The sequence below is a fragment of the Homo sapiens genome, chromosome 2, assembly GCF_000001405.40.
Source record: "Homo sapiens chromosome 2, GRCh38.p14 Primary Assembly".
NCBI lineage: Eukaryota > Metazoa > Chordata > Mammalia > Primates > Hominidae > Homo > Homo sapiens.
The window spans coordinates 15,344,490-15,365,660 of NC_000002.12; the positions used below are offsets into that span (position 1 = coordinate 15,344,490).

The window sequence follows — 21,171 nt, forward strand, 5'->3', positions numbered from 1 at the left end:
TAATGAGTTCTGAAATTGAGGCAGTAATTAATAGGCTACCAACCAAAAAAAGCCCAGGACCAGATGGATTCACAGCCAAATTCTACCACAGGCACAAAGAGGAGCTGGGACCATTACGTCTGAAACTATTCCAAACAACTGAAAAGGAGGGACTCCTCCCTAACTCATTTTATGAAGCCAGCAGCATCCTGATACTAAAACTGTGCAGAGACACAACAAACAAAGAAAACTTCAGGCCAATATCGCTGATGAACATCAACGCGAAAATCCTCAATAAAACACTGGCAAACCGAATCCAGTACCACATCAAAAAACTTACCCACCACGATCAAGTTGGCTTCATCCCTGGGATGCAAGGCTGGTTCAAAATACAAAATCAATAAATGTAATCCATCACATAAACAGAACCAATGACAAAAACCACATGATTATCTCAACAGATGCAGAAAAGGCCTTTGATAAAATTCAACATCCCTTCATGTTAAAAATTTTCAATAAATTATTAATGGAACATATCTCAAAATCATAAGAGCTATTAATGACAAACCCAAAGCCAATATCACATTAAATGGGCAAAAACTGGAAGCATTCTCTTTGAAAACTGGTACAAGACAAGGATGCCCTCTCTCACCGCTCCTATTCAACATAGTACTGGCAGTTCTGACCAGGGCAACCAGGCAAGAGAAAGAAATAAAGGGTATTCAAATAGGAAGACAGGAAGTCAAATTGTCTCTGTTTGCAGACGACCTGATTTTGTATTTAGAAAACCCCATTATCTCAGCCCCAAAACTCCTTAAGCTGATAAGCAACTTCAGCGAAGACTCAGGATACAAAATCAATATGTAAAAACCACAAGCATTCCTTTATGCCTACAACAGATAGAGAGCCAAATCATGAATAAACTTCCATTCATAATTGCTACAAAGAGAATAAAATACCTAGGATACAGTTAACAAGGGATGTGAAGGACCTCTCAAGGAGAACTACAAACCACTGCTCAAGGAAATAAGAGAGGACACAAACAAATGGAAAACTATTTCCATGCTCATGGATAGGAAGAATCAATGTATCGTGAAAGTGGCCATAGTGCCCAAAGTAATTTATAGATTTAATGCTATTCCCATCAAACTACCACTGACATTCTTCACAGAATTAGAAAAAACTACTTTAAATTTCATATGGAATCAAAGGAGACCCCATCTAGCCAACACAATCCTAAGCAAAAAGAATCAAGCTAGAGGCATCATGCTACCTGACTTCAAACTATACTACAAGGCTACAGTGACCAAAACAGCATGGTCCTGGTACCAAAACAGACATATAGACCAAAGGAACAGAACAGAGACCTCACAAATACCACCATGCATCTACAACCATCTGATCTTTGACAAACCTGACAGAAAGAAGAAATGGGGAAAGGATTTCCTATTCAATAAATGGTGGCGGGAGAACTGGCTAGCCATATGAGGAAAACTGAAACTGAACCCCTTCCTTACACTTTATACAAAAAATTAAGTCAAGATGGATTAAAGACTTAAATGTAAAACCCAAAACCATAAAAACCCTAGAAGAAAACCTAGGCAATACCATTCAGGACATCGGCAAGGGCAAAGACTTCATGACAAAAACGCCAAAGCAATTGCAACAAAAGCCAAAATTGACAAATTGGATCTAATTAAACTAAAGAGCTTCTGCACAGCAAAAGAAACTAGCATTAGAGTGAACAGGCAACCTACAGAATGGGAGAAAATTTTTGTAATCTACCCATCTGACAAAGATCCAATATCCAGAATTTACAAGAAACTTAAACAAATTTACAACAAAAAAAACAACCCCATCAAAAAGTGGGCAAAGGGTATGAACAAACACTTCTCAAAAGACATTTACACCTCCAAGAAACACATGAAAAAAAGCTTAACATCACTGGTCATTAGAGAAATGCAAATCAAAACCATAATGAGATACCATCTCACGCCAGTTAGAATAGCGATTATTTTAAAAGTCAAGAAACAATAGATGCTGGCAAGGCTGTGAAGAAATAGGAATGCTTTTACACTGTTGGTGGGAATGTAAATTAGTTCGATGATTGTGGAAGACAGTATGGCAATTTCTCAAGGATCTAGAACCAGAAATGCCATTTGACCTAGTAATCTCATTACTCAGTATATACTCAAAGGAATGTAAATCATTCTTCTATAAGGACACATACACACATATGCTTATTGCAGCACTATTTACAAAAGCAAAGCCATGGAACCAACCCAATGTCCATCAAGGACAGACTGGATAAAGAAAATGTGGTACATATATACCATGGAATACTATGCAGCCATAAAAAGGTATGCAATCATGACCTTTGCAGGGACATAGATGAAGCTAGAAGCCATTATCCTCAGCAAACTAACACATGAACAGAAAACAAAACACCACATGTTCTCACTCATAAGTGAGAGATGAACTATGAGAACACATGGACCCAGGGAGGGGAACAACACATACCAGGGCCTGTTGAGGGGTTGCGGGAGAGGAGAGGAAACTTAGATGACAGGTCAATAGGTGCAGCAAGCCACCATGGCACACATATACCTATGTAACAAACCTGCACATTCTGCACATGTATCCCAGGACTTAAAGTAAAATAAATTTTTAAAAAAGTCAGTTAATAACACACATTAGCAAGGATGTAGAAAACCTGGAACCTTAACATATTCCTTGTGGAAATGTAAAACATGTGCAGACACTTTGGAAAACAAAAAGTTTGGCAGTTTCTTCAGATGTTAGACATAATATAACAAACAATGCAGAAATTCTACATCTAGAGAAATCAAAACATATTTCCATACAAAGACTTTTACATCAATGTTCAGAGCAGCATTATTCAAAATAGCTAAGAAATGGAAACAACCCAAATGTCCACCAACTGGTGAATGGAAGAAGTAAATGCTGGCCAAGATACTGTAATATAACTGACATTCTGCTCACTTTTATTTAAATATTTCTAAACAATAATTTTACAAATTCAAACTAGCTCTATACTTAGCCCATGCTCAAGTTTTAAACATTAATCAGTCCAGTCGTATAAATCTGTAGCCACTTAAAATGCTCATAACAAGCTTTCCCACAGTGCAAATGATTTTTTAATGGGAACCTTGTATACAATCCATTTCTAACTCTAATTAGATTTATCTAGAGAAAACACCATTGGTTAAGTGATATACCTAATACTAGCTAAACAAAATGTTAATATACTCTAAGTGGTAGAATACTGTTCCATCTAAAAAGCATAATGACCAACATTAATAAGAAATTGGAAATCTGTAATTTTGGTAGTTATTCACAAATTATGCATTTTGTTCTATTTATAGACAAACATCCTGTTCACAGGGACAACAGCAATATCTTCAAACTTGTCGGCTCCATTTGTACTAACATAAATGCTACTGCATAACAATTACATCTTTATTTTGCTTGGATATATAAATAAAAATCATTATTTTCACAAGTGAAGTAATGAAAGTCTTAAGTATTAAAGTAGATTACACATAAAGTCATCTCTCATTTATGAGCTATAATTTAATGTGGTTATTATATCTACTGTTAATGTGTAACACACGGCATCTTATAGCTAAGCACTATATTTTAACCTAATGATAGTAGCTATAACATTCTGAAATGTGCCTCATAAATCAAAGCCGTAATGCGTGCATTGCAGGTTTGGACTAGCACTTCATGAGATCTAGATCTATTACAATTTGCTGAAAGGGGACAAAGGCAGACAGGAAAGCTTTTAAGAGGCTTAAAAAGAAAAGCAAAAGACAATCATTTTGGAAGAACTCCTTTTCCTTGCTAAGTGGAACTTGTAGAGGACTACCAGTGGTCTCCTTCATTTACTGACGGGATTTAATAGAGTAACATGTGCCCACTTGCAGTAACACAGCATGGCCCACTGCAAAGAAGCCACCAAGAGGCCAGGCTGACATTTTATAATTCACTGTAGAAGCAGAAAATAGAAGTCCCCAAAGTCACAAAAGGCTTTTCACAGATTTTGGAAAGAACAAGCGGGTTCCAAATAATTCATAAAGCTGAGCTTAGCAAACACATTGCAATTCCATGCTCAACAGAAAAATGATACACTCCTCACACTGGCCAAAACATCACAGCACCTCAGTAGCACCACATGATGACTGAAAATCCACTTCCTAATTCATTTTAGGAAAAAAAAAAAAAATCCACTTCCTAATTTATTTTTACCACTGACTGATCATTATGCAGTTGGTGTTTCCAACTGAGCTTTATGAAAAGTTAACTAGGCATTCACTAATTGAGAAGCACAATAAGAGCACACAGAGATGGCATACCTCCAGTGACCGGACAATACCACGTCACACCGTAAAGTGCTAAAACGGAACAGTGAGAGAGAATGCTTAGGGAATATAGAGAACGGGGCAATTAAAGGACTCAAGGAAAACTTCACAAAGAAAATACTTCATATGGAAGGGATAAGAGCACAAGACAAGCACAAGAGCACAAGATAAGAAGTGTCCTCCAAACAGAGAGAAAACTCTATAAAATAACACTAAAGGCACCAAAGTGCCTGCACAGAAAATGGTGATATGTTCCCCACCACTGGAACATAACAGATGTTTGAAAGGCATGAAAAGGGATGATGCTGGAGGCAGGCAGAGTAGGAGATGTGACTGGACAAGTTGTGGAGGGATCAGAGGTTCAAAAGGAACAAAACTTCAGATAAAGATCTCATGAAAACTAGGTCTTCAATTGGACCTTGAAAGACAACTCCTCCTAATACATGGAACATTTAGTGACCCATTAGCTAGTATAAGAACTGTTCTGAATCCCACAGAGAGAACAGCAAAGAAATGTAATGTGTTTTCACATCCAATGAGGGAAAACAATAGTTGCTAGTCAGTACAACTACAAATCAAAACATGCCAAAGGACAAAGTGTATCCATATCACTCTAGGACCCTAGAAAATGCTATGGCTGCCATCTGAAGGGAGTGAGTGCAACAACAACAAAAGAAGTCTACTGCCTGCAGTGCTGGTGGCTGAATGCCATCCTCCACTGAATGGTGCATCTTCTAGACCTCTGATGTCCAATCTGGTAGACAGTAGCCTCATGTGGTTATTTAAATTTAAATTAAATAAAATTAAATACAATTTAAGGTTGGATGCAGTGGTTCACGCCTGTATTCCCAGCACTTTGGGAGGCCAAAGCTGGTGGATCACTTGAGGCCAGGAGTTCAAGACCGGCCTGGCCAACAGAGTGAAACCTCATCTCAAAAATAAATAAATTAATTAAATACATTTAATTTAAAATGTGATCCCTTAAGTGCACTAGTGATATTTCAAGTGCTCAATAGCTCTGTGTGATCAGTGGCTACAATGATGAACAGTGCAGGTATGACATATTTCCTTCACTGAAGAAAGTTCTATTGGCAGTGCTGTCCTAGAGTCATCACTGCAGGAGGAAGAGGCGAAAATTCCATAGGGGCAAAAAGTAACATTACAACCCTCTTTGAGATAATCAGATTACTTAGTATTGAACTGGGAATACACACGCATATTAGATCCATGTTCACCAAATTAAATTTTAATATTAAAAAAAGAGTTGTGAGAATGGGGTAGTTGCATATATTCTACTCTGGGCAAAAGCTAAGTATCTTTGCCCTAATTCCACCAATAGACTCCACAACTGAAGCTTTGTACCAGAGTTCTAAAAGTAACAGTAGAGTACACAAATACTAATGACTTTGTCAAGATGGATACAGCAAAAAAAAAAGTTAGTGCAGTTCACTTACCACAATAGGTGTCTCCCAAAATAGTCACAAGAAAAATAAAGGATATTTTACACTGTGAAAGTGAAGCTTACCATTTGATGGAATCTCATGAAAAACCAATCTATATAGAGAATCATCACGTCTTAATTTGTCTAGCTGGGATGTCAGAAACCGGGCCACTGTCTTTGATCTAAAAAATGCTAATTCTACGTTTCTAGAAACAGTCATGAAAAGTTAAATTCCCTGGAGCAAACACTGACCAAAAGAAGACAGGTTTCAGGGAGCATACTCTTCCTCCTTTGTCTCCCAGGATGGAAGATTCTGAAACACATATAGACTTAATTGGTTCGGACAATTTTATTCATAAGAATCTCAATGAGGAAAAGGAACACAACAAAAATCCAACACAAAATAAGCAAGAGAATCGAACAAGTACCTCAAAAAGAGGATCTCTCCTGAGCTATCTCCATCTCATTAGTAATCAGAAAAATATAAATCAATTAATTAGGTATCATTAAACACTTAGGATAACAGGCAAAGTTTAGGAAACCAACAATAGCAATGTCCTGGATTGGAGTAACTAGCAATCCTGTACACTACTGTTCAAAGTCTCATTGGTAAAACAAAACAAAAGCATTTGGCATTATCTATTTAGGTTGAATTATATACATATCTCACAATGCACATTTCCAGTGCTACATATATGCCTGAGAGAACTGTTTGCCCATGTACACTAGAGACATGTACAAACGATGACAGTCACATTATTTTTAGTCACCAAAATTGAAAACAAACCAAGGTCAATCAGTGTTCATATGAATAAACTGTACTATGCACACCGAAATTGATTTCTACATGGCAATAAAAATGAATAAACTACAGCTACATATAACAGCATGAATGGATCTCACAAACATAACACTAAGTATAACTATTTCTATAAAATACAAAAACAGGTAAAACTAAACTATCATATTGAGGGTATGTATGGTACGTATCGACATTATTTAAAACAAAAACAAAAGTCACAAAGATCTGGTTATCAGGATTAGTCAGGACAGTGGTGATCTCTGGAAAGGGAGAGAAAAGTTAGGAATGAAATACGGAAGGCCAGGCATGGTGGCTCACACCTGTAATCCACGCACTTTGGAAGGCTGAAGAGGGTGGATCACTTAAGGTCAGGAGTTCGAGACGAGCCTGGCCAACATGGTGAGACCCCATCTCAACCAAAAATTCAAAAAATTAGCCTGGTGTGGTGGCGCTCACCTGTAATCCCAGCTACTTGGGAAGCTGAGGCAGGGGAATTGCTTGAACCTGGGAGGTGGAGGTTGCAGTGAGTGGAGATCACACCACTGCACTCTAGCCTGGCAAAAGAGTGAGACTCCATAGAAAAAAAAGGAAGTTTAATAAGGAGAGGGTCTGGGGGATTTGGAAGGTGGTTAGGTACTGCTTCTTTACCTGTAGTTTCATGGGTGTTGTCTTTATGATAATTTATTGAGCTGGACATTTTTTGGTATACTTATCTATATGAATGTTATATTTCACACACACACACAAAAGCTGAAAAGAAAAGTGGTCTGCATGCACACACACACACACACACACACACACACACACAAAACCCCTCTCATCCACAAGGTTAGGTAATCCCACTTTATTCCACTCTCAGCCACCTTTCAAACTCCGCTCCCTCATTTTAACTTACCTCTTGTACTGCTTTACTAGTTAATGGTGAAGCACTGATATTTTCCCCTCCTTCATGATGGATCTGGAAATTCACTCTTTGATAAAGAATCTAAAACAAGAATAGGCTATATTGTAAAGGAGTTACGTTTTTAAATTTGCTTCTCATCACAATATAGGCTTGAAATTTAAAAAGTACTTTTAAAAAGAAAATTACCTTTTCATAATGATTAGTTTTGGTAACAGGCTTACTTCAGGACTTCACAAACAGTTTCAAAAGGATGCAATGGTTTCAGAAGTGGGGATCAAGTGTGAAAAAAATGATATACAATGTAATGAATTGTTACAGGCAGTGTATGTGTTCAGGTCTGGAACAGCCTCAATTCTTGCCTCCAAAGAAGAAAAAATTTGACTGGGGGGCATATGCAGAAAAAGAGACCGAGGCGAGTTTTAGAGCAAGAGTGAAAGTTTATTAAAAAGCTTTAGAGCAGGAATGAAAGGAAGGAAGATACACCTGGAAGAGGCCCAAGGGAGGGATTTGAAGGACAAGTGCGGGTTTTGACCTTTGGCTTAGAGCTTTACATCCTGGCACGTTGCCAGGTTCTTGTGCCCCTTCTCTCCTGATTCTTCCCTTGGGGTGGGTTGTGCACACGTGCAATGGCCTGCTGGTGATGGGAGGGGAGCGTGCGCAGTGTGTTTACAGGAGTCGTATGCATGTTCAGCTGCAGCGTTCTTCCCTTTTCCGGTGGAATGCCCTCACAGGTCATACGCCAGTGAAACTCCACCATTTTGCCTCTTAGTGAACATGCTTGAGCTCACTGGCCAACACCTGAGATCTTATCAGGAAGCTGCTGATCACCAGTTTCAGGGGTTTTTTTCTATCTATAGGGAAACTGTCTTTCCCTGGTGCTGGCTGCAACCAATTATTATCTTAGAGAGGCAGTGTGACAACTGCCTGACCCATCTGATGGTCGCCTGACTTTCCTGGTGGGGTGTGGGGGCCCTCTCCCGTCTTGCTCATGTCTGCCTGACTAGCTACCAACTGTAAGAGAATGACTATGGGATGAAAATGTGAATTCTAGACTCTCCTCATACATTTAACAGTGTTTCTCCACAGGGGCACTATCCTCTCCTATGCAGATCTATTCTGTGAATTTTAGGAAATTTAGCATCCCCCCCAACCAAAGCCCACCTCAATCCCCAATTTCCAAAGGATCCCTAAGGGAATGGTTGCTCCACTGGCTTTAACCCATATGATTTCAGACATATTTTACATGACCATTTAGCATATGTTTAATTCACAACACTAACTTTCCCCATTATTTTCAATAATTTCTTTCCAAATATTACTTTCTTTCTTTCTCAAGGCTGTCTTGTATCCTTTCTTCCTTGCTGTTATAAAGCCAGCAACATTATGTTATATCCTAATATTTTCATGTCCCTTTTCCATAAGTGACAATCTAGTTTTCTTCCATAAATTAAAATTCTCATACTACTTTTTTAAGTGACCACATACCTCAGATACACACACCCAACAACATGGACGTCATACAGGTTAGGATTTCCTTTATCGAAGGACTTACTTCTGTCTGCAGAGAGCTGCTAGCTGCCAAAAGAAGTTCAATGCTGCTAGGAGGGCAATGTGTCAAAGCAAAAGCCATGAGCTCTTGACGAGTGGCCAAGTCCTGGTAACCTTCTGATTGTCCTAACTGGCTACAAACATCCCAACTTTTAGGATAACCTGCAAAATTGGCAAGGAAAAAAATGATTCCCAAAAGAAGAAGAATATTCAATCTAAGATGACAAATGCAATGGCTTCCTGCTCAGGTCTTGTGGTACCAAAGCAAAATCATAGTCATTAGTGACACATTATTTTATAAGCAGAAACAGATAAGAATCTAAGCTAGGAAAGATTAGGGTGGTTTATTATCCAGAAAGTTCAATGCTACTCTAAACAAGTGTTTCTGACAAACTCTGTTAAATTTTAGATTAACTGACAATAAATGCAAATGATCTACTGAGATTTGGTGTTCTGTGAAAAGGCAGCCATCTGAATTCCGAAGATCTGAGGGCCTGCTGCAACCCTGCTACTTAGCACTCCTGTGAGAGCTTTAAGAAAGAGCCAAAAGTCTCACAATTCTTTTCCTACAAGGACAATAATAACACCTTCCTCTTGGGTTGTTGAAGGAATTAAGTAACATTTGTATTTAAAAGCACATGTAAACTGCAAAGTGCTAGAAAAAGAGATATTATGATAGATCTCCATACAGAATCACTCACTTTATAGATAAGACAGACATCTAAGGACAGTGACCGAATCACCCCCCAACTCCCAGCAGGGATCTTTTTCCTATACATTATACTCTGAATTCTTAAAATACATTTTTATTCTTATTTGAAGGAATTCCAGCCTTAGGCCTATTTGTCTAAGTACAAAACTTGTAGTACAGAATAATTTTTTTCTAAATATGTGAAGTAAAAATTAATTCAGCTATTACCCTTACCAGAATAAAATCATTATAAAGCTCTCCATATGAACAATTTAGATCAGTACATTTTCACAGACAGCCATAGTTATTCTAAATTTAATGTTGCAAAATCACTCGGTTAATATTATGGAACACAGCTCATTTATGAAAACAATTTGCTAATGCTGAAGTTGTAATATATTGAATCATTTTTGAAGAGTTTTAAATGTTTTCACAGATGTAAAGCCAAAGATCCTCTCTGTGACCAAAGTTAAATCAGACAACCCTGAGCCCTCTTCTCAGCTAGGCCTTAACCTTGGCCCCCAGCCTTGCTAGGCTGCATACTCCAGTTTTAGCAAAAATCCTACTAAGTCAGTTTAGCCAGAATCCTCAAATTCTCAAGGACTGATCAAATTACTTATCCCTCAGCGGTGATATCTGATCATCCTGGCCAGCCTTCAGCAAGGTCCTATTAAATCATTTTAGCAAGGATCCCCTGCCCTTGATGTCTCTTAATTTTCCACCCACTGACCCTTCAGTTAGCCTGCTGGCTACAAATGTCCAGCTATCCTTGCTGTATTCAGAGTTGAGTCCAATCTCTCTCCCCTATTGCAGTGGTCTTCATACACATCACAATAGTCCTTGTTGTTATTAACAAGTGTCAGAATAATGTTTTCTTTAACAGTACACATGTGAAAGTTGCACAAATCATTAGTGCAGAGCTCCATGAGTCACCATGAAGTGAAGCCCTGCATTTTAACCACTCCCTAATTAATGCTTTGATAGTGGGTAGAAAGATGTGTTTGGACCTTCACATATTCTTCACATATTCAAGCATAGCCATGGAAAGCTGACAATTTAGTACAGAGCCCATGATAAGAAAACAACAACAACAACAACAACAACAAAACTCCCTATCACACTGAAGAATGTGTTCTTTACGTGAGAAATTATTCTACAATAAAATCTGATTATCCTGCAGAGACTTGAATTTGAATTTCAATATGAAGAATTTTGGAGTTGCAAACCACTTCCCAATTTCTCAACATCGGTTTGAAAAGCACTATGCTATCTGATACGGTTTGGATCTGTGTCCCCATCCAAACCTCATGTTGAAATGTAATCCCCAGTGCTGGAGGTGGGGCCTTGGGGGAGGTGATTAGATCATGGGTGCAATTTCTCATGGTTTAACATCATATCCACTTGGTGCTGTCGTTGTGATAGTGAGTTGAGATCTGGTTGTTTAAAAGTGTGTAGTCCCTCCCCCATCTCTCTCTTCCTTCTAATCCAGCCAGTTAAGCCTCCTGCTCCCACTCTGCCTTCTGCTGTGAGTGAAAGCTCCCTGAAGACTTCCCGGAGGCAGATGCTGCCCTACTTCCTGTACAGCTTGCAGAACTGTGAGCCGATTAAACCTCTTTCCTTTATAAATTACCCAGTCTCAGGTATTTCTTTATAGCAGTGTGAGAACGAAATAATACACTATCTTTAAAAAAAATTAAAGAATGGAAATATTGACTATATAGACACAAACTAATATAAAAATTTAAATTTTCTCTTAGATAACAAATACAGGAAATGGCATTGAAATATTTTGCATAAAATTATTTTTAAATTACGAGCATGTTTTGAATAGGGACTAGAAAGCAACCAAAATCTCAAATAAAATTTAATGTCTGAATCTGTTAAAATGTTTACATTAACATATAAGTACACAGCCTATATACTTACCAGTGCTCATAAAATGTATCTCAAGCCTCAATGTGGCTGGCTTACCAATCAGGTCAATTGATTTCAGAACAGACCTTTTCCATTATCCATCACATAAAGAGGACATAAGCAAAGTGTTAAATAAGCTGTCTACTCACCTGTGGCCATCAGCTCCTGACAATGCATACTGGCTGCTTTGTAGTCATGGAAGCGAAGTGCCTGCTCCACTAAAAGGATTAGAACCTGTCCCCGCCTTTCTTCTGGGTTCTCACCTGTAAGTCCAAGCAAAGGACTTAATGATTATGACAAGCAACGTCAATTGATAGAAGAGCTTGTTAACACTGTCTTTCAAATTACTTAAAAAATAAAACAGAGAGATTACAGGGATTTTAAATGATGAGAGGAAAAAGTTGCTTTGACCTTTCAATCCACTTATGAAGCATGGAATTAGCCATCAGTCTCCTAAGAGATCAATGATTAATATTAGTTCCCAATTAAAATACCCAAACCAGGAAGTCCAAAATCATGGTAGTTTGGAACCCTACAAAAAAGTCTTGGTATTACCAGGGTAAGGGAAAGAGAAGAAAATTTATGTTTCCAAAAGAAACCAGGTTATAAAAAGGGCTTGAAAAATAATGACCAGCAGATTAAGTGAACGGATGAAGATGATGCAGCAATAAACTTCTCATCATAAAAATTCAACTACTATTTAGAAATTGGAATGCAAATGCTGTCCAGAGCACTGGCAAAGATTGTTCCTTAACAAATTCTCGTTGGGCTCCTCTGAGCCTTACTGGGCCCTGTCCTTGGACATATCCTTGAGAGCCCAATTTTAGCACAACTTCTGCTATCAGTTGTAGCCAGAATCCTCCACTCTGGATATCTGGTCATCCCTGGTAATCTGATCAAATCCCTCATCCCCACCACCAACCCCCAGATGTTATCTGGCACCCTAGCCAGCCCTCAGGCAAGAATTTGTACCCTGTTAGGTGGTTTAACCAGAATGCCTCCTTACCACAGTGATTCTTCTTTGTAATTTTCCATCTGCCCCAACTGAGGTTCCAACATAAGTAAAACCCAACTCAATGGAAACAGTAAAATCAGAAACAACCAACTACAACTAGAGACTACCCACATTAACTAATCAAGTATTTTCTTTGTCCACAAACACCTTATACAATTTTCCCATCACACTCACTCAGAAGAGCCCTGAACTACTGTGAGTTTGGTGCTGCCTGATTCATGAATTGCTGTCTGCTGAAAATAAACCCTTAAAATTTTAATGAGCATAAGTTTACTTTTAACAAGCCCAATTTCTCTCTCTTACTGCAAAATTCCATTGCAGTAGTCCCTGTACCTATAGTGCAGAGTCTCGCTTACAATTTTTTGTTTATTCATTTGAAGAGACAGGTCAAAACCTATGTTGCCCAGGCTGGTCTTAAACTCCTGGGCTCAAGTGATCCCCATGCCTCAGCCTCTCATTTAAACATGCATCAGGGATAATTTTTTCATTAACAGCACCCATGGATCTCAATCACACAGATGAATATATATATAAATGAGGATGAAAAATACAATTTACAATATCTTTAAAGCAAGTCTTACATTATTAACTTTACCCTGTGTAAACAGGATCACTATGAGATACATAGGAATGGGATATGGCTCCCCCTTCAAGCATTTTTTCTTTTGTCTTCTCTTGTCCGACTGATCACAAAACCCACACCACTATCTTGCTGGCAATATAACCACTAACCCTGGGGCTTTAGTCATACCAAGAGAATGGCCATTCTTCTGTGCTCTCATGATGTTTGACCATGCCTTTTACTTAAAGAATTCTGGGAAATGGACTTAAGAAAATCTAAATATCAAACTAAGGTTGTGGAGTGTCTCTCCTGGGGAACAAAGGCTGGAAATGGATCTGCGGCCTGTTGCTACCAGCCAGACCACCAAGTGACCCATTATTTAAGGTAACTATGGCAACCAAATAACACCGACCTGCATACCCTACCACTCACTTGCACACCCTACCACTCACCTGCGCTGCCCAGCCCAGCCGGCATACTTTACCACAGATATCAATTCCTGCTCTTTGCCTAAAAACAAAATCAAAAACAACAACAAAAAATCCCTACCGTTTTTTTCAGGGAGTCTACAGAGTCCTTGTGCCTCTGCTGTCTCCCATGTGCTTGAGCCCAAACCCTAAAATAAAAGCCTTGACTGGGAAAGCTGCTTGGCCGTGTGTGTGTGTATGTGTGTGTGTGCGCACACATGTGTGCATGTGCGCGTGTGCCCGTGTGCATGTATTTATTTATTTAGAGATGTGGTTTCTCTCCGTTGCCCAAGCTGGAGTGCAGTGGCACTATCACTGCTCACTGCAACCTCGACCTCCCAGGTTCAAGCAATCCTCCCACATCAGCCTCCAGAGTCACTGGGCCTACAGGGACATACCACTAAACCTGGCTAACTTTTTTATTTTTTGTACAAACAGGGTCTTGCTATATGACCCAGGCCAGTCTTGAACTCCTGGACTGAAGCAATCCTCCTGCCTCAGCCTCCCAAAATGTTGGGATTAGAGGCATGAACCAACACACCTGGCTTGTGTTCATTTTTATTAGGTGAGGAGCCAACCGGCCTGTGATCTGCAAAAGCCACAAAATTACTATGCTAGCCAACACACTATCTACATTAAATTTTTGACTTTTTTTCCTTCTAAAGGCTAACAGAATGAAAATAATTTGGGGCTCAAGGGATCACAGTTCTGGCATGCGGGTTATTTCAAAGTGAAAACATTTGAGCTACAGAAGATGCAGAAAGAAATCCTAACTGAATTTATCTTATCTGAATAAAGCACTGTCCTCCTAAAATAAAACTGCAATTAAACCTCCTCCACAGGAGTTTCCTGAGAACTCAGTTGGAACAGAGACTGTCAGTTCGCATCAAAAAGCCCAACAGAACCTTCTATACTTTCCCACTGAAGCCCTAGCCCCTCCCACCCCATCCCCCTTTTTGTTAAGTTGGTATATAAACCTTACTTCTTGCTATTCAAGAGTTATTAATCACTAAGTGACTTCTGCATGCATCTGTAAAAAAAATCTTGTTTTTCTCCTGTCTATTGTCAATTAATTCACAGGCACCTGACCAACCATTTGAAACAAAGTAGATGAAGAAAAAGTTTTTGTCCCAACAGGGACTTTAAACATTTTTGCCAGGTCTTTTAAAAGTATTTTCCCCTTTGAGTGTTCTTAAATGACAAATATAAAGGGGGAAAACCTTAAACACAAAATAAGTTTATAGTTTCACTGACAGTACTAATCTTTTATTTATCAGAGTAAGTTTCTAGAGTCTAAAAATATACAAGAAAAATTCAGCTCATGTTAAAAGATCTAAAATTATTTTCCCAAAAGTTTTAGAAAATATTTCTTAAAATATTTTACATAAAATATTTTATTTCTTTACATAAAATATAGGTTTTCGTTGCCCTTTCAACATATTCCTTTACTTTTCACTCTCTTTAAAACAATTTATTTGAATGGTAGGCTATCCGGACAAAAAAAATTGTGATTATCTTTTTAATAATCTTTATTATCTATTAAAATGTAAGCTTTTGACGGACAGGGGTTGGTTCATAGTTGGATGCTCAATACCCAGCATCAAGTTATGCACATAATAGAAAGGCTCAAAAAAATACAGTCATGAGTTGCTTAACAAGAGGAATACATTCTATGACATGTGTCATTAGGCATTTCCGTCTTGAGCAAATATCACAGAGTGCACTCACACAAACCTAGATGGTATAGCCTACTACATACCTAGGCTATATATATGGTATAGCTCCTAGGCTACAAACCTGTACAGTATATTTCTGTACTGAATACTATGGGCAACTGGAATGCAATGGTAAGAATTATGTGTATCTAAACATAGAAAAGGTACAGTAAAAATATTGTACAAAAGATAAAAAATGGTAACTCTGTATAGGACATTTACCATGGATGGAGTTTACAGGGCTGGAAGTTGCTCTGGGTGAGTCAGTTTGTTGGGTGGTGAGTGAATGTGAAGGCCGAGGATATGACTGTACACTACTGCAGACATTATAAACACTCTACACTGAGGCTACATGAAATTTAGTAAAAAAATATTTTTCTTTCTTCAGTAATAAGTTAACTATAGGTTACCATAACTTAAAAAAAAAAAAAAAACAAAACAAAACAGAATCTCACTGTGTCGCCTAGGCTGGAGTGTAATGGCATGATCAATATTTACATAACTCACTGTAACCTCGTGAACTCCTTGGTTCAAGGCAGCCTCCTGTCTCAGCACCCTAAGTAGTTAGGCCTACAAGCATGCATCACCACACCCAGGAAATTTTTATTTTTATTTTTTGTAGAGACAGGATTTCACTATGTTTCTCAGGATGGTGTGGAACTCCTGGCCTCAAGTGATTCACTTGCCTCAACCTTCCAAAGTGTTGGGATTAGAAGTCTGAGCCGCCATGACCAGCCTTTTTTTTTTTTTTTTTTTTAACTTTCTAAAACTTTTCTTGTTAAATACTAAGACACAAACACACATATTAGTCTAGCCCAAACACTGGGTCAGGACATCAATATCACTTTCTTCCACCTCCACCTATTGTCCCACTGGAAGGCCTTCGGGCCATAACACATGGAGCTATCATCTCCTATGATATCAATGCCTTCTGGAATCCCTCCTGAAGGACCTGCCTGAGGCTATTTTAAAGTTAACTTTTTTCTTTTATAAACAGGAGGCGCATCTTTGAAAATAACATAGTATAGTAAACACTTAAGCCAGTAACATAGTCATTTAGTAACTTTACCAAGAATTATGTACCAACATAACTATATGTGGCAAACTTACACAACTGGCTGTATAGGAGGTTTACATCTCCATCACCATAAAAAAGTGAATAACGTGTTATAACGGCTGATGTCACTAGGCGATAGGAATTTTCAGCTCTATTTTAATTTTATGGAACCACCATTGCATATGAGATCGTTGTTGACCAAAATTTCATGTACCATTGCTGTGCAGTACGACTGTAAATTCTCAATTAAACAGGCACAGAGGCCAGGCACAGTGGCTCACACCTGTAATCCTAGCATTTTGGGAGGCCGAGGTGGGTGGATCACTTGAGGTGAGGAATTCAAGACCAGCCTGGCCAACATGGTGAAATCCCATCTCTACTAAAAATACAAAAATTAGCTAGGCATGGTGGAGGATGCCTGTAATCCCAGCTACTCGGGAGGCTGAGGCATGAGAATAATTTGAACCCGGGAGGCAGAGGTGGCAGTGAGCTGAGATCGCACCACCGCACTCCAGCCTGGGTGACACAGTGAGACTCTGGCTCAAAAAAACAAAAACAAAAAAATGGCACAGATTAAATTCGGAATGTTATTTTCAATTATGAGACAAATAATTCAGCTACAAAACAAATACAATGTAATTTGGATATGTAGGCTAAAAAGGACAAAAATCTAATATATTTCATATTTTAAAGAGCCTTAAAATTATTTTTAATATTTCCAGGAAATGGCTGGGCACGGTGGCTCACGCCTGTAATCCCAGCACTTTGGGAGGCTGAGGCAGGCGGATCACCTGAGGTCAGGAGTTCAAGACCAGCCTGACCAACATGGAGAAACCCCATCTCTACTAAAAATACAAAAAATTAGCCAGGTGTGGTGGCACATGCCTGTAATCCCAGCTACTTGGGAAGCTGAGGCAGGAGAATCACTTGAACCCAGGAGGCGGAGGTTGCAGTAAGCTGAGATCGTGCCATTGTACTCTAGCCCGAGAAACAGGAGTGAAACTCCATCTCAAAAAAAAAAAAAATTCCAGGAAAAAATAGAAAATATGTTTAGGGCCCTTGATTTTCTAAGCTATAATATGGTTTGGAGGAAAAAGCAAACATGTTACAGGAAGGGTTGAATAAAACTTTTAAAATATGTCCCTATCGATCTTCTTTATGTACTTCATAAGTTTAAATAAAATCCAAGGCAAGTATTGGCCCAATCTATTCTGAGAAGATTCTAGGGCCAGGCACGGTGGCTCACGCCTGTAATCTTAGCACTTTGGGAGGCTGAGGTAGGAGGATCGTTTGTGGGAAGGAGTTCAATACCAACCTGGAAAACAGAGCGAGACCTCATCTCTACCAAAAAAAAAAAAAAGAAAGAAAAGAAAAGAAAAATGTTTCTAATTAGCTGGGCATGGTGGTACATGCCTGTAGTCCCAGCTAGTCAGGAGGCTGAGGCAGGAGGATCCCCTGAGCCCAGGAGTTCAAGATTACAGTGAGATATGATCATCCCACTGCACTTCAGCCTGGGCAACAGAGCAAGAGTCTGTCTCTAAATAAATAAATTCTTAAAAAGGGATGATGTTGCACTGAGATTCATAAACCTATTATTAGAATAACACACTCATGATTTAGTAACAGTAACATATATTGGAAACGGAATATGTAATGTTTCTCTATAATAAATGCACCTATAACACAATATAAAACCTATTTCCTACATAACATTGAAATGTTTGCATTTCTTCAGAATACATTAAATTAAAAATGAAAGGTCCAGATTATAATTTTTTTATGTCAACCTAGCTAGGCTACAAGCTCTAATCTGGGTGGTATTGTGAAGGTTATTTTGCAGATATAATTAAATACGGTACTCTGTTGACTTTACGTAAAGAAGTTTATCCTAGATAATCCTGGTGGGTCTGACTGAACTTCAGGGAAGGCTTTAAAGAGGTTGAGGTTTTCCAGAAAGAAAGAAAGAGATGGGGCCAGGCGCAGTGGTTCACACCTGCAATCCCAACACTTTGGGAGGCTGCGACAGGTGAATTGCTTGAGCCCAGGAGTTCAAAACCAGCATGGGCAACATAGTGAGACCCCGTCTCTGTAAACAAAAACCCAAAAAACAGTCAGAAAAAAAAGAAAGAGCTGGTGGTTGGGGAGAGATTCCCACCTGTGAATGACAGCTTCAGGCCATATCCACAGAGTTCCCTCCTGCTCCTGATCTTCTCTTCCTGACTGACTGCCTATGGATTTCAGACTTGCTTAGCCAATCCCCATAGTAGTAAAAGCCCATTCCTGGTAATGAAGTCTTTAACATGTACCTCTCCTACAGTTTCTGCTCCTCTGGTTGAGTCATGACTAACAGACCAGGTATCTAAACTACTCAGTCTCTTTCATAACCTCATTTGGATGCATTCCTTTCTCTTATGTTATCAGATCAATTAATTTTTGATTTGAGATGTGGTAAAATCTGCTGAATGTCTGTGAAAATAGCCAGATGCAAAGGTCTTGTGAATGAAATGAAGGACAATAAAGTCCACTGATTATTATTATATAGTGTCAAAAAAGGTGGAAACAGAATATGAGTAAAGGATTTAACTTAAAACCTCTTAACTATAAAATCCTCAGTAATTATTTAACTTTTCTCTATTCCTGTCTCCTCATTTTCAAAATGAGATTCCTATTTCTGCCTATAAAGGACAAAGAAGGAACTGAGATAAGTATTAAAGCATAAAATGAGTATTATTATTGTTGTTAATGGAAACTTTTTATAAAGATGTGCCAAACAGTTATCTTAAAGTTCAAAGTTATTTAACTGTTTTTAATTCAAGACAATTCCAATCTGAGCAGGTGGATTAAATGAAAAAATATAACCAAAGGGCTGATCTTAGTGATTTACTTCTACACATAAAGTGGAAGTGATGGTGTGTGACTTCCAAGACCATATCATAAAAGGCATTACAGCTTCCTCTTTGCTTTCTTGTGAATCAGATCGCTCTAGGAGAAACCAGCTGCCGTGCTGAGAGAACACACTCAAGCAGCCCAATGGAGAGTTCCATGTAGCAGGAAACTGAGGCCTCTTACCAATAGCCATAAAGGACTGAGGCCCCCTGCCAAGAGCCATGTGAATGAGCCCTCTTAGAAGCAGAACCTTCAGCCCCATTAGAGCCTTCGGGTGAGGTCTGTAAATATTCCCCTTGAAGTTGGCAAGGTCTGTCTAACTGAGTCCAAGAATAAAATACACTGGAAATGAAGCTGCCCAAATATCAAAGCTAGATTTGAAAATGCCTTGAAGCAGCCGGGCACAGTGGTCACGCCTGTAATCCCAGCACTTTGGGAGGCCGAGGCAGGTGGATCACCTGAAGTTAGGAGTTCCAGACCAGCCTGACCAGCATGGGGAAACCCCGTTTCTACTAAAAATACAAAATTAGCTGGGTGTGGTGGCGCATGCCTGTAATCCCAGCTACTCGGGAGGCTAAGGCAGGAGACTCGCTTGAATCTGGGAGGCACAGGTTGTAGTGAGCCAAGATGGCGCCATTGCACTCCAGCCTGGGCAACAAGAGCGAAACTCTGTCTCAAGAAAAAAAAGAAAATGCCTTGAAGATTTTGCTGGTTTCTCCTGGAGCACTGACTCCAGGAGACTTCAGCCAACAAGAAGGAAGTCTGGGTACTCTGAGACCATCAAATGGAAAAAGTACAAGGAGAAATCACAGAGAGCAGAGACACCTGTAAAGCCCTATATCAGCCCCCAGCTATTTAAGTCTTCCCAGCCCAAGTACCCAGACATGTGAGTAATGCAGCCTTTGACAGAGTCCAACCCTAGCCACGATCTGATGAAATTTCATAAAAGATGATGACCTGCTTAGCTGAGCCCAATCTCCAGAAGAGATTGGGAAAATCTCTTTTCTCTTTTTCTGGAGAGAGAAAAATAAATGGTTGTTTTTTAAGCCACCAGGTTTTGGATGGTTCGTAAAGCAGTAACAGATAACCAAAACACTCTATAAGGTAAAGGCCACCTATGATACCTTTCTTAATTCCCCAGGCAAAAATTAGCACGGCCTTTCTTCGAGTCTTCTATTATTTGTTTACAGAAGCCATGCACTATGATCACATCCTATGTTGGCAGCATAATTACTTGTTTCCCTAGCTTTCTAAGAGTCTAAATTCTCAGAGGGCAGCAGCTATGTGTAACAGAACTTTGTATCCACAGTACGTAGCAGAAAAATATTACTTTCTCTCTTCCCATTAAAAACTCATATAGATTACCAAGACCACAGGTATTCCTGTTACTATGTTAACACATCACAAAGACAAAAGAGGAAACAAATCCTAGTAGGAACATAAAAATGCAGATGGCACCTCTGAGCTGCTTTGTTAGCTTCTGTGGCCTGGATCCTTATGGAATATTCCCTGATGATCAGAGTGCATCAGAGTTTACAGAGCACTTTCACATGCATTAACTCATTTGGGCCTCTCCTAACTTCACAGGTGAAGAAAGGGGGTATCATTCCTATTTTCCAGATGCAGAAAATGGAACTAAAGTAATTTAGCAAATGTGTGGCACAGAGTTAGAACTTGAACCAGTGTTCTGACTCCACATGAACTGTTCTCCCCATTCATTCCAGATGTCTCACAACGGATGACTGGCCCCAGTCACACTGCCATCACATTGGCAGTCTGCTGCAAGTCCAAATATAAAGATGCTG

The 21,171-nt window shown here is 39.1% G+C and overlaps 1 protein-coding gene across 11 annotated transcripts in view; it reads right to left on the reverse strand.

Moving 5' to 3' along the window:
* The window catches only part of NBAS (NBAS subunit of NRZ tethering complex), a 782,426-nt gene that overhangs the window by 565,581 nt on the left and 195,674 nt on the right, over positions 1 to 21,171 (reverse strand). For all 11 annotated transcript variants that reach the window (XR_007076390.1, NR_052013.3, XM_017004317.2 and 8 more), the window contains 3 exons: positions 11,814 to 11,927; positions 9,064 to 9,221; positions 7,503 to 7,592 (listed from right to left, as the gene is read on the reverse strand). Coding sequence is in view for 9 of the 11 variants with exons in the window: in XM_017004317.2 (XP_016859806.1) it covers positions 7,503 to 7,592; positions 9,064 to 9,221; positions 11,814 to 11,927 (362 nt within the window). In the remaining 2 variants the exon portion in view is untranslated. The remainder of the gene's footprint in view (positions 1 to 7,502; positions 7,593 to 9,063; positions 9,222 to 11,813; positions 11,928 to 21,171) is intronic.